Here is a 13612-nt window from a genome sequence, read left to right on the forward strand (position 1 = left end):
TGAAGGGTTTTTTTGTGTCTCTATCTCCTGCAGGTCTGCTCTAATCTTAGTTATTTACTGTCTTCTGCTAACTTTTGAATTTTTTGCTCTTGCTTCTCTAGCTCTTTTAATTGAGATGTTAGGGTGTCGATTTTAGATATTCCTGGTTTTCTCGTGTGGGCACTTAGTGCTATAAATTTCCCTCTTAACACTGCTTTAGCTGTGCCCCAGAGATTCTGGTACATTGTGTCTTTTTTTCTCATTCGTTTCAAAGAACTTATTTATTCCTACCTTAATTTCGTTATTTACCCAGTAGTCATTTAGGAACAGGTTGTTCAGTTTCCATGTAGTTGTTTGGCTTTGAGTGAGTTTCTTAATCCTGAATCCTAATTTGATTGCACTGTGGTCTGAGAGACTGTTTTTTATTATTTCCATTATTTTGCATTTGCTGAGGAGGGTTTTACTTTGAATTATGTGGTCAATTTTAGAAAAAGTGCTATGTGGTGCTGAGAAGAATGTATATTCTGTTGATTTGGGGTGGAAAGTTCTGTATATGTCTATTAGTTCCACTTGGTCCAGAGCTGAGTTCAAGTCCTGAATATCCTTGTTAATTTTCTGTCTCCTTGATCTAATGTTGACAGTGGGCTGTTAAATTTTCCTGCTATTATTGTGTGGGAGTCTAAGTCTCTTTGTAGGTCTCTAAGAAGTTGCTTTATGAATCTGGGTGCTCCTGTTTTGGCTGCATATATATTTAGGATAGTTAGTTCTTCATGTTGTATTGATACCTTTACCATTATGTAATGCCCTTGTTTGTCTTTTTTGATCTTTGTTAGTATAAAGTCTGTTTTATCAGAGACTAGGATTGCAACCCCTGCTTTTTTTTTTTTTTTTTTTTTTTTTTTTTTTTTTTTTTTTTGCTTTCCATTTACTTGGTAAATATTTCTCTATCCCTTTATTTTGAGCCTATGTGTGTATTTGCATGTGAGATGGGTCTTCTGAATACAGCGCACCAATGGGCCTTGACTCTTTATCTAATTTGCCAGTCTGTGTCTTTTAATTGGGGCATTTAGCTCATTTACATTTAAGGTTAATATTGTTTTGTGTGAATTTGATCCTGTCATTATGATGCTAGCTGGTTATTTTGCCCGTTAGTTGATGCAGTTTCTTCATAGTGTAGGTGGTCTTTACAATTTGGTATGCTTTTGCAGTGGCTAGTACCGGTTTTTCCTTTCCATATTTAGTACTTCCTTCTGGAGCTCTTGTAAGGCAGGCCTGATGGTGACAAAATCCCTCAGCATTTGCTTGTCTGTAAAGGATTTTATTTCTCCTTCACTTATGAAGCTTAGTTTGGCTGGATATGAAATTCTGGGTTGAAAATTCTTTTCTTTAAGAATGTTGAATATTGGCCCCCATTCTCTTCTGGCTTGTAGGGTTTCTGCAGAGAGATCCACTGTTAGTGTAATGAGCTTCCCTTTGTGGGTAACCCGACCTTTCTCTCTGGCTGCTCTTAACATTTTTTCCTCCATTTCATCTTGGTGAATCTGATGATTATGTGTCTTGGGGTTGCTCTTCTCAGGGAGTATCTTTGTAGTGTTCTCTGTATTTCCCGAATTTGAATGTTGGCCTGTCTTACTAGGTTGAGGAAGTTCTCTTGGATAATATCATGAAGTGTGTTTTCCAACTTGATTCCATTCCCCCGTCACTTTCAGGTACACCAATCAAACGTAGGTTTGGTCTTTTCACATAGTCCCATATTTCTTGGAGGCTTTGTTCATTCCTTTTTATTATTTCTTCTCTAATCTTATCTTCATGTTTTATTTCATTAAGTTGATCTTCAATCTCTGATATCCTTTCTTCCACTTGATTGATTTAGCTATTGATACTTGTGTATGCTTCACGAAGTTCTTGTGTTGTGTTTTTCAACTCTATCAGGTCATTTATGTTCTTCTCTAAACTGGTTATTCTAGTTAGCAGTTTCTGTAACCTTTTATCAAGGTTCTTAGCTTCCTTGCATTGGGTTGGAACATGTTCTTTTAGCTTGGTGGAGTCTGTTATTACCCACCATCTGAAGACTACTTCTGTCAATTCATGAAACTCGTTCTCCGTCCAGTTTTGTTCCCTTGCTGGCGAGGAGTTGTGATCCTTTGGAGGAGAAGAGGCATTCTGGTTTTTGGAATTTTCAGCCTTTTTGTGCTGTTTTTTCCTCATCTTCGTGGATTTATCTACCTTTGGTCTTTGACGTTGGTGACCTTTGGATGGGGTTTTTATGTGGGTGTCCTTTTTGTTGATGTTGATGCTATTGCTTTCTGTTTGTTAGTTTTTATTCTGACATTGAGGGCTCTCTTCTGCAGGTCTGCTGGAGTTTGCTGGAGGTCCACTCCAGACCCTGTTTGCCTAGCTATCACCAGCAGAGGCTGCAGAACAGCAAAGATTGCTGTCTGCTCCTTCCTCTGGAAGCTTCGTCACAGAGGGGCACCTGCCAGATGCCAGCAGGAGCTCTCCTGTATGAGGTGTCTGTTGACCCCTGCTAGGAGATGTTTCCCAGTCAGGAGGCATGAGGGTCAGGGACCCACTTGAGGAGGCAGTTTGTTCCTTAGCGGAGCTCAAGCACTGTGCCGGGAGATCTGCTGCTCTCTTCAGAGCTGACAGGCAGGAATGTTTAAGTTTGCTGAAGCTGTGCCCACAGCTGCTCCTTCCCCCAGGGGCTCTGTCCCAGGGAGATGAGAGTTTTAATCTATAAGCCCCTGACTGGGGCTTCTGCCTTTCTTTCAGAGATGCCCTGCCCAGAGAGGAGGAATCTAGAGAGGCAATCTGGCTGCAGTGGCTTCACCACACTGGTTTCACACCCAGTTCACTTCCTGGTGGCTTTGTTTACACTATGAGGGGAAAACAGCCTACTGGAGCCTCACTAATGGTGGATGCCCCTCCCTGCACCAAGCTTGGGCGTCCCAGGTCGACTTCGGACTACTGTGCTGGCAGTGAGAATTTCAAACCAGTGGGTCTTAGCTTGTTGGGCTCCGTGAGGGTGGGATCCGCTGAGAAGACCACTCGGCTCTCTGGCTTCAGCCCCCTTTTCAGGGGAGTGCATGGTTCTGTCCCGCTGGTGTTCCAGGCACCACTGGGGTACAAAAAAAAAAAAAAAAAAAAAAAACTCCTGCAGCTAGCTTTGTGTCTGCTCAAATGGCCACCTAGTTTTGTGCTTGAAACCTAGGGCCCTGGTGGTGTAGGCACCTGAGGAATTTCCTGGTCTGCGGTTTACAAAGACCATGGAAAAGTGTAGTGTCTGCTCTGGAGTGCACTGTTGCTCATGGTACAGTCCCTGACGGCACAGTCCCTTATGGCTTCCCTTGGCTAGGGGAAGGAGTTCCCCAACCGCTTGTACTTCCCAGGTGAGGTGACGCCCCACCCTGCTCCTGCTTACCCTCCGTGGGCTGCATCCATTGTCTAACCAGTCCCAATGAGATGAACCACGTACCTCAGTTGCAAATGCAGAAATCACCCAGCTTCTGCATTGGTCTCACTAGGAGCTGCAGACCAGAGCTGTTCTTACTCGGCCATCTTGCCTCTCAGTCTCAGGCCTTCTTTATTTTTTGACTTATTTTACTTACTTACTCATTTTCTGTAAGGAAATCTGGATTATAACATGTTCCTTTCATTAGAGACTTTAGATTATGAGGAATAATCAACACCTTCAAATACATTTACTTTTTATCCAAAGACCTTAAAACTTCACCCTCAGGAAGCCCATGGCTTGGGTTCCAGGACACAGTTTAATACAGATGGCAGGTAATCAGCTGATTTTTCCCCCTCCTCAAGTACTGGCTTCACTTTGACATGGTATTTTACGCTGCCCTCCTGGGACCCCCACCACCAATTCCACATATCCTCTGAGGGTCTGTGGCTTGCCAACCCACTTTTAACTTATGTCTAAGCCTAAAATCTTTTTGTTGGGAGATCATTTACAGGGGATTTATAGTAAGGAACTTGAGGATTCTCATGGGATCTAATCTCAGGACAGCCTTCTTGAGAAATGGAAAGATTACAAGCTCTGTCTCTGTCTCTCATTCTCTCCCCCATCCCTCTGCCTTCTCTGTGTTTCTCTCTTTTTCTTACATAGACTTAACCTGAATGTTTGCTATTTTTTCTTTCTGTAGGCTCCTTCAAACTGATGCTCCCCCTCCGTAACATCAGCCTGTGTGTGACTAGGACTTGCTATGGTTCTAATTCTGGTTCCAATCCTAGTTCATCTTATGAATTTGATCATGGACATGTGTTCTGGGTCTATCATTTCTAATTCTGGGAAAGAGCACATGACAGGCTCTGCTTTATTCTTGTGTTCATCTCTAATCCAATCAACTAGAGCCATACTGGTGAGGTTGCTGGTACAAACATTATTGTCTAGGTCTGCCATATCCATGGGGACTTTGGAGGACATGTCAGAGAAGGAAAAACAAATAGGCATGCATAACAAACATATCATTCACAATATTCTAGGCAGTGGGTACAGCGACCTTGAGGGCTGGAGAAAGAAGAGAGCTTGGTACATATAGGGAAATTCAAGTGGTTCAGAATGGCTGGAGTGTAGCATTTGGGGTAGGAGATAATAAGAGATGAGATGGATCAGTAACCAGGGCTGGAATTATGAAGGGCTTTGATACCCTGCTAAGGAGTCGAAGTAGATAAAAAGTCAGGTTTTCTCTCCTTTCTTGGCTTTTACATCCTATACCATCTATTTGGAAGAGATACCACCCCTCCTTTCCTTGACTTACTAAGCATTTGCCCTTTGGGTCTCAGCTTAAATGTACCTTTTCGAAAATCCTTCCCTGATCTCTGAAGCCTGGTTAGTTGCTATGTGTTTCCCCAGCTCTGTGTGCCTGCACTAAATAGTACTCATATCCTGTAACCTGCTTGCCTGTTCACTTTTCTCTCTCTCCTGCTAGAGTATAAGCAGGAATCCTGTCTGAATATATCTTTTATCCATAGCGCAGTGCCTGGCAATCACAGACATTCTGTAAATGTCCTGTTTAAGGAATGAATACATCAATGAATGAATGAGATGGACACAAATCAAGCAACCTCAAGTATCCCTTTCCTTGCTTGAGGTTAAGCCTGGCCTTGCTTCTTAGTTAGACTGACTGAAGCCCTCTCAGCCTCTAATCCTTGAGGAATGAAGACCCTCCTGCAGATTCTCTGGTCCCAACCTGGGGACTCTGAATATTCTCCCCAGACACCACTCTCTTCCCTGCTCCTTCCTCTGGAAGCTTCATCCCAGAGGGGTGAGAAGGGTTTTAAAAAGGGGTTTCCCTGCACAGGCTCTCTTTGCCTGCTCCCATCCATGTAAGACATGACTGCTCCTCCTTGCCTTCTGCCATGATTGTGCCAGATGCCAGCCGGAGCTCTCCTGTATGAGGTGTCCTTTACACCTGCCCACTTCCTACATGATCAATCTAGATTAGTTTCCTAATGTCATTCTGTATTTTGCCATCTTAATCCTTTCTCTTTTCCAATCACTTCTCCCTCATTTCCTTCCTTGAGAAAGGAAATAAACTTAAATAGTCCTCCACTCATTGGCTGCGCATCCTAGGAGCATCTATGAAGAGTTCACACTTTTCTGTCCCAAACTGTCCATCTTACCAGCACATCACATGTATATAAACATTGAATATATGTATATAAATGTATATATCTATATATAAATATTATAATTCCTACTGTTGACTCTCACAAATATCAACAAGCAGCAACCTATAATTATAGATTATACACATACAATCTATATATAGGTTATATAGATTATATATAATATATGCTATCCTGCTTTATTCCATTAATGATTGTGGTGTTGCATTCTATTACAAAGGAAGAGTGGCAAAATATGAACTTATATTGTAGATGTTTTCTAATTCAATATTGAAATGCCTCAAGACTCAGTCCTTGGATCTCTTCACTTCTTTTTTCTTACTACATTGTTAAACTCATCCATTCTCAAGCCTTAAAATCATCTATGTGCTGATAACTCCCAAATTTATGTCTCCAATCCAGGCCTTTTCCCTAAACTGCATACTCCTATATCCAACATCTCTACTTGGATGTCAAATAGACCTCTCAAACACACAATGTGTCCAAAATGGAACCTCTAATCTTGCCCCAACTCCCTGCTCCACCCACAGCCTTCCACGTTTCAGGTGATGGCAACTTGGCAGCTTCATCCTTTCAGTTGCTCAGTCCAAAAGACTTGAAGTCATCCTAAACTCCTCTCTCTTTCTCACACTTCCCAGCCAGTCTGTCATTAAATCCTGCTGGTTCCACCCTCTAATATATCCTTCTCTCCATTTCCACTGTTCCCGTCCTGATTGGAGTCACCATCCTCTCTTGGCCGGAATACTGCAGTAGCTTCCTCATAGGTCTCTGTGAATCTACCCTTTCTCCCATACAATCTAACCTAGCAGAGCACCAGAGGCTCTTCTGCTCCACACCTTCCAATGCCCACCCCCATTTCACTCACAGTGAAAGCCCGTGTTTATATTGGCCCAATACCCCCACTCACTTTGCCTTCCACCTCAACCCTTATCCCTGGGACTTTATCTTCTAGCACTTCCACTCCCCTCCCACCTTTTGATTGTTGTAAGTAGTCCTCTTGCTGTCCTTTGACCATCATGATCACACTCCATCTTAGGATCCTCCACTCTAGCTGTTATTCAGGCTGGAGTGCTTTTTTCCTAGATTCACTTGGCAAGCTCTCTCGCCTTCTCCCAGTCTTTGTTCAGATATCATCTTCTCCACGAGGCTTACTTTGAGCACCCTACTGCAACTGTCACCACCCCAAGCCCTCTTTGCTTGCAATCCCAACCTCACTCTACTTTTTCTATTTTCCATTGTACTTATCTCCTTCTAATATATGACATAAGTTATTTATTTGCTATTATCCGTCTCTCTTGTTTGAATGCAAGTTCTAAGAAGACAAAGATCTTTGTTTTTTTCACTGATTGATATGGTTTGGCTGTGTTCCCCTGACAAATCTCATCTTGAATTCCCACATGTTATGGGAGGGACCCAGTGGGAGGTAATTGAATCATGGGGGCAGGTCTTTCTTGTGCTGTTCTCATGCTAGTGAATAAGTCTCACAAGATCTGATGGTTTTAAAAAGGGGAGTTTCCCTGCACAAGCTCTCTTTGCCTGCTGCCATCCATATAAGACATGACTGCTCCTCCTAAGCTTCTGCCATGATTGTGAGTTCTCCTCAGCCATGTGCAACTGTAAGTCCATTAAACCTCTTTCTTTTGTAAATTGCCCAGTCTTGGGTATGTCTTTATCAGCAGCATGAATATGAACTAATACACTGATTTATCAAAGCTCTTAGAAGTGCTTGGCATATAATGAGTGCTTAGTGAATATTGTCGAAAGAATGAATGAATGAAAAAGCAAATTAATATCTCCTACCCTGTCTGCTCTTTATGTATCTCCATATCAGTGGTATAATTCTCAATTGTGAGCTCCCGAAAGGTAGAAAGCATTTTTGTCCTTTCTTAGCAGAGCAGGATTTTGACCTAAATTTCTGCAAACTATAGTCTTATGGTTATGACTCTTTTTGTAAGTTGATCACTCATTCACAAGGATGTAATTTGCATCTGATTAATCACAAGACTGATGTGGTCTCAGAACATTGAGAAAAAGACTACTTCATCTACCTGACAGTCAAAGGGTAACACATTAGGACTTGAGAGATAATAAATTCAAAGGAAGTTCACACACAGAAAAATTTAAGATTAAATTGTCATTTTCAGATAAATTTGTTAGGGATATTGGTTCAGTATTCTGCAGCAGATGCATAAAATATTTCCATGCCTTTAAGAATCCATTTGTAGTCTCAGATACCACATGTGTTCCAGGAGTGTAGATGTCCTGCACAGTACTCTTTTATGAGTCACTCAAGCTTCTCCTGTGGCATCAGATTTTGCAGTGATTTTGTAATGGACATTTCCTAATTGAGAAATTATCAGCTATTTTTGAATTATGAAATGGCTACATTACTTAGAAATAGGCCCTTGGGTGCACATGAGATATTTCATTACCAGGCGTAAGATTTATTTTATTAATAGAAAAATAATATAAAATGTCACTTAAAGGATCTTATCAAAATTATGAACCTTCCACTTCTGAATGTCTGTATTATACATCCATTCCTAGGTCACCTAAACTTACCCCTTTGACTCAACCTGCTACAAAGAGCCAACCACTTCCTCTACTCCAGCTGTTTCTTTATTCCAACTCTTGCCCTATTATGTCACTCAGTCTGTTCTTTGCTCTATCTCTTTTGCTCTTAATCACATTTATAGGCTGTATTAGTTCATTCTTATGCTGCTAATAAAGACATACCCAAGACTGGGAAATTTATAAAGGAAAGAGTTTTAATGGACGCATAATTCCATATGGCTGAGGAGGATTTACAATCATGGCAGAGGGCAAAGGAGGGGCAAAGGCTTGTCTTACATGGTGGCAAGCAAGAGGGCATGTGTAAGGGAAGTACTCTTTATAAAACCATCAGATCTCATGAGACTTATGCACTGTCGTGAGAATAGCATGGGAAAAACTCACCTCCATGATTCAGTTACCTCCCAGTGAGTCCCTCTCACAACACATGTGGATTATGGGAGCTACAATTCAAGTTGAGATTTGGGTGGGGACACAGCCATACCATATCATTCCACCCCTGGCCCCTCCCAAATCTCATGTCCTCACATTTCAAAACTAATCATGCCTTCCCAACAGTCCCCCAAAGTCTGAACTCATTTCAGCATTAACTCAAAAGTCCACAGTCCAAAGTCTCATCTAAGACAGGCAAGTCCCTTCTGCCAAAAGCAAGTTAGTTACTTCCTAGATACAATGTGGGTACCAGGCATTGGGTAAATATACCTGCTCCAAATGGGAAAAATTGGCCAAAACAAAGGGGCTACAGTCCCCTGGAAAGTCTAAAATCCAACAGGGCAGTCATTAAACCTTAAAGTTACAAAATGATCTCCTTTAACTCCATGTCTCACATCCAGGTCATGCTGATGCAAGAGGTGGGCTCCCACAGCCTTGGGCAGCTCTGCCTCTGTGGCTTTGCAGGGTATGGCCCCCATTTTTGCTGCTTTCACTGGCTGACATTGAGTGTGGCTTTTCCAGGTGCACAGTGCAAACTGTCATTGGATCTACCATTCTGGGGTCTGCAGGACAGTGGGCCTCTTCTCACAGCTCCACTAAGCAGTGTCCCAGTGGGGACTCTTTGTGGGTGCTCCAACCCCACATTTCACTTCCACACTGCCCTAGAGAGTTTCTCCATGAGGGCTCCACCCCTGCAGCAAACTTCTTGCCTGGACATCCAGGCATTTCCATGCATCTTCTGAAATCTAGGCAGAGATTCCCAAATCTCAATTCTTGACTTCTCTGTACCCACAGGCCCAACACTACTTGGAAGTTTCCAAGGCTTGGGGCTTGCACCCTCTGAAGCAATTGCCTGAGCTGTATGTTGGCCCTTTTTAGCTACAGCTGGAGTGGCTGGGACGCACGGCACCAAGTCCCAAGGCTGTGCACAGCAAAGGGGGGGTCCTGGCCCTGGCCCGCAGAACCATTTTTCCCTCCCAGGCCTCTGGGCCTGTGATGGGAAGGGCTGCCATGAAGGTCTCTGACATGCCCTGGAGACATTTTCCCCATTGTCTTGGTGATTAACATTTGGCTCCTTGTTTTATATAAGTTTCTGCAACAGGTATGAATTTCTCCTCAGAAAAAAAGTTTTTCTCTCCTATCTCATTGTCAGGCTGCAAATTTTCAAAACTTTTATATCCCATCACCTCTTGAATGCTTAGCCACTTAGAAATTTGTTCCCCTAGATACCCTAAATCATCTCTCCTAAGTTCAAAATTCCACACACCTGTAGGGCAAGGGCAAAATGCCACCAGTCTCTTTGCATAGCAAGAGTGACCTGGCCAGGTGCAGTGGCTCATGCCTGTAATCCCAGCACTTTGGGAGGCCAAGGCGGGCAGATCATGAGGTCAGATTGAGACCATCTTGGCTAACAAGGTGAAACCCTGTCTCTACTAAAAATACAAAAAATTAGCTAGGCACGGTGGCAGGTGCCTGTAGTCCCAGCTACTTGGGAGGCTGAGGCAGGAGAATGGCGTGAACCCAGGAGGTGGAGCTTGCAGTGAGCCGAGATTGCGCCACTGCAGTCCAGCCTGGGTGACAGAGCTAGACTCCTTCTCAGAAAAATAAATAAAAGAGTGGCCTCCAGTTCCCAACAGGATCCTCATCTCTATCTGAGACAACCTCAGCATCGACCTTTTTGTCCAAATCACTGCCAGCATTTTGGTCAAAGCCATTCAACAAGTCTCTAGGAAGTTCCAAATTTCCCACACCTTCCTGTCTTCTAAGCCCTCTGAGTCTCTAGGAAGTTTCAAACTTTTCCACATTTTCATATCTTCTGAGCCCTCCAAACTGTTCCAACCTAGCCTGTTACCCAGTTCCAAAGTCACTTCCACATTTTCGGGTATCTTTACAGTAGCACCCCACTCTACTGATACCAACTTACTGTATTAGTCTGTTCTCACACTGCTAATAAAGACATACCCAAGACTGGGTAATTTATAAAGGAAAGAAGTTTGATAGACTGACAGTTCCACATGACTGAGGAGGCCTCACAATCATGGCAGAAGGCAAAGGAGGAGCAAAGGCACATGTTACATGGTGGCAGGCAAGAGAGCGTGCATAAGGGAATTGCTCTTTATAAAACCATCAGATCTTGTGAGCCTTACTCACTCTCATGTGAACAACACAGGAAAAACTCACCCCCTTGATTCAGTTACCTCCCAACAGGTCCTTTCCATGATACATGTGGATTATGGGAGCAACAACTCAAGATAAGATTTGGGTGGGGATACAGCCACACCATATCATAGGTTAATTCATGTTAACTTAAAGAATAGAGAGGCAGCAAAGTGGATGTAACATAAGCTTGGTGTCAGACTAGATGCATTAGATATCTGGCTCTGCCATTTACTATCTGTATGACCTTGAGGATGTTGTGCAATCTCTCTATACATCCCTATATTTGTAAAAAAGTTTAATAATATCTTCTTCATAGGTGAGAATTAAATGAGATAGTATATACAAAGTATTTGTTTCCCTTCTGTGTTAAGATAGCAATAGTAATATACGTTAGCCTTTCAATTGGATTTGCTAATGTCTAAGGGGGCCTTTTTTGCATGCCTATTAATACTTAGAGTTTTACTTTTATTATAATAATACTCCATCTATTAAAGAGTTAAATCCTAAGTTTTCTTAATATTTTAAGTTCAGCTTTCTAATCTTGTTTATTAATCTAGTATATTTATATAAAAATAAGTACAATCATTTTCACTAGCTTTGATTAATATTTATTGATTTGTACAGTAAAAATAATAAATTAACCTTAATCATTTAATGCTATTTGAATTCATAAGTAATATTTTCATCAACACTTCAAATCATAATTACAATTTCAATGTAGGTAATTTTTTCAGATAATGCAAGTCTATTATGCAGACTTAAAACCCAACAAGCCAGATATTTCTAAACACTTAAGTAATGCTTAGTAATCTAATAAATCAATCAATTGACTCACTTAACTCAAATTCTCATACACTTTGCAAACAACTTAAAAACAGAAAATATTCAAAATAGCAGTGACTGCAAAACATAACACAGCATAATAACATTCCTTAAACAAAAGTCTCACTTGTATTCATTCTCTATTAAATATATATTATACATAACATACATTATATATGATCTACATTGTATAAATATGTAATACACATAAATGTTATATAGTATATATACATTATATACAATATACATTGTGTATAATAAACATGTACATTATGCATAATATACATTATGTACATTATGCATAATATACATTTATACAAGTATATATACATTTATACACGTATATATGTATATATACATTTTTATACACATATATATGTATATATACATTTTTATACACATATATATGTATATATACACGTTTTTATACACGTATATATGTATATATACACGTTTTTATACACGTATATATGTATATACACGTTTTTATACACGTATATATGTATATACACGTTTTTATACACGTATATATGTATATACACGTATATATGTATATACACGTTTTTATACACGTATATATACATGTATATATAATATACATACATAATATAATGTATATTATGCATAATGTAATAGAGTTTCATATATTATATTAGATTACATTGTAGAATATAATATATTATGTATAATATACATTACATACATTATGTATAATATACATTACATACATTATGTATAATATACATTATATATAATGTACATACATATATTCCTTCCAGAAGTAGCTAATTTGCTCCCAACCAAAGAAAAGATAATTACTATTTTAGGTCCGCTACAGCCACTAAAGTTTTACACACAGATTATTATCAGTGATTATAAACCAAGGCAAAGGGTGTTTGTGCTGCTTCCAGAATGATTCTACCCAAATCCCAGGTGGTTAGCAAGCTGGACTTTTTCTCATAATTAAACCCTGCCAACTTCTTCAATTTTACAGAAAATTGCTTTCACAAGTTATTCCTGCCAGATCTGAGTAGCTTCAATGCACTCTTCCCACAGTGCTCCTTCACAATAGGATCACGGCTAATCTCCATATTGCTTGATTTGTGATAATAGGCTTCTTAAATGCTTCTGTCATTATAACCCATCTGCTCACTAACTGGTGAGATTCTGTACTTTATCGTTTATGAACGTTCTTATTTGTGTCAAACCCATATTTCTGTTGGTTTATTGCTGAGTCCAAACCAGATTCCCAGCTTCTGCTTTCCTCCCCTGCCCCCCAGTCTAGTGTCCCTCCCCCAGTCTAGTGTCCCTCCCCCAGTCTAGTGTCACTGCATGATTTCCTGTAAATGCAAACGTACTCCAATAAGCCTGCCTGAAGCAAGAGGAATTGAGCCAGCTATCAAACATCATTCTGGGATTCAGCATCAGTCACCATTAGAGCTGGTCTTGTCCCGACATGGGCTACATGTCTGGTCCCTGGGGCTTAGCCTCTGGTCGGTGTCAAATTCAGGTGAAAGCCTTGTCAGCACAAAAATACATACCTGGAACAAACAAACATTTCTGGAACAAGATTGCTTGGGGAAATTTACAGACGAGTAGCTGGTGTGAGGTTCTCCATTGTTCATTACAATTTAGGACAGCACAAAGAAATTTAGCAGGGCTAGATATCAGACTCAAAAGAACCCCGGCCCTTGGGCTGTGGGGATTTTAAACTGCAGAATTGAGGAAGAACCAGCCCCAATGTGGTCATGCCATATGACACTGCAGAACCCCTAGTTCGGAATGGAGTCAAAACTGAAAAGATAAGGCAACCAGGCTGATTTATTGTCTGGGTCCCTAGACAAAATAAGAACATGATCTTTGAATCTAGAAGGATATGAAATTGGATCCTGGCTATGTACTTGCTATGTGATTATGGCAATGCTACTGAATTACTCTAAACTTATATTTCTGCATTATTGAAATCAACTACCAGCCTAACAGTTAAGACATGCATAAGAACTATGAA

At 40.8% G+C, this 13612-nt stretch overlaps 1 pseudogene across 1 annotated transcript in view; it reads left to right on the forward strand.

Annotated features, from left to right (window-relative positions):
- The window catches only part of WTAPP1 (WTAP pseudogene 1), a 53091-nt pseudogene that overhangs the window by 33155 nt on the left and 6324 nt on the right, over window positions 1-13612 (forward strand). The gene's annotated exons all lie outside the window — the stretch shown is intronic.

Source organism: Homo sapiens, chromosome 11, assembly GCF_000001405.40.
Source record: "Homo sapiens chromosome 11, GRCh38.p14 Primary Assembly".
NCBI classification, from domain to species: Eukaryota; Metazoa; Chordata; class Mammalia; order Primates; family Hominidae; genus Homo; species Homo sapiens.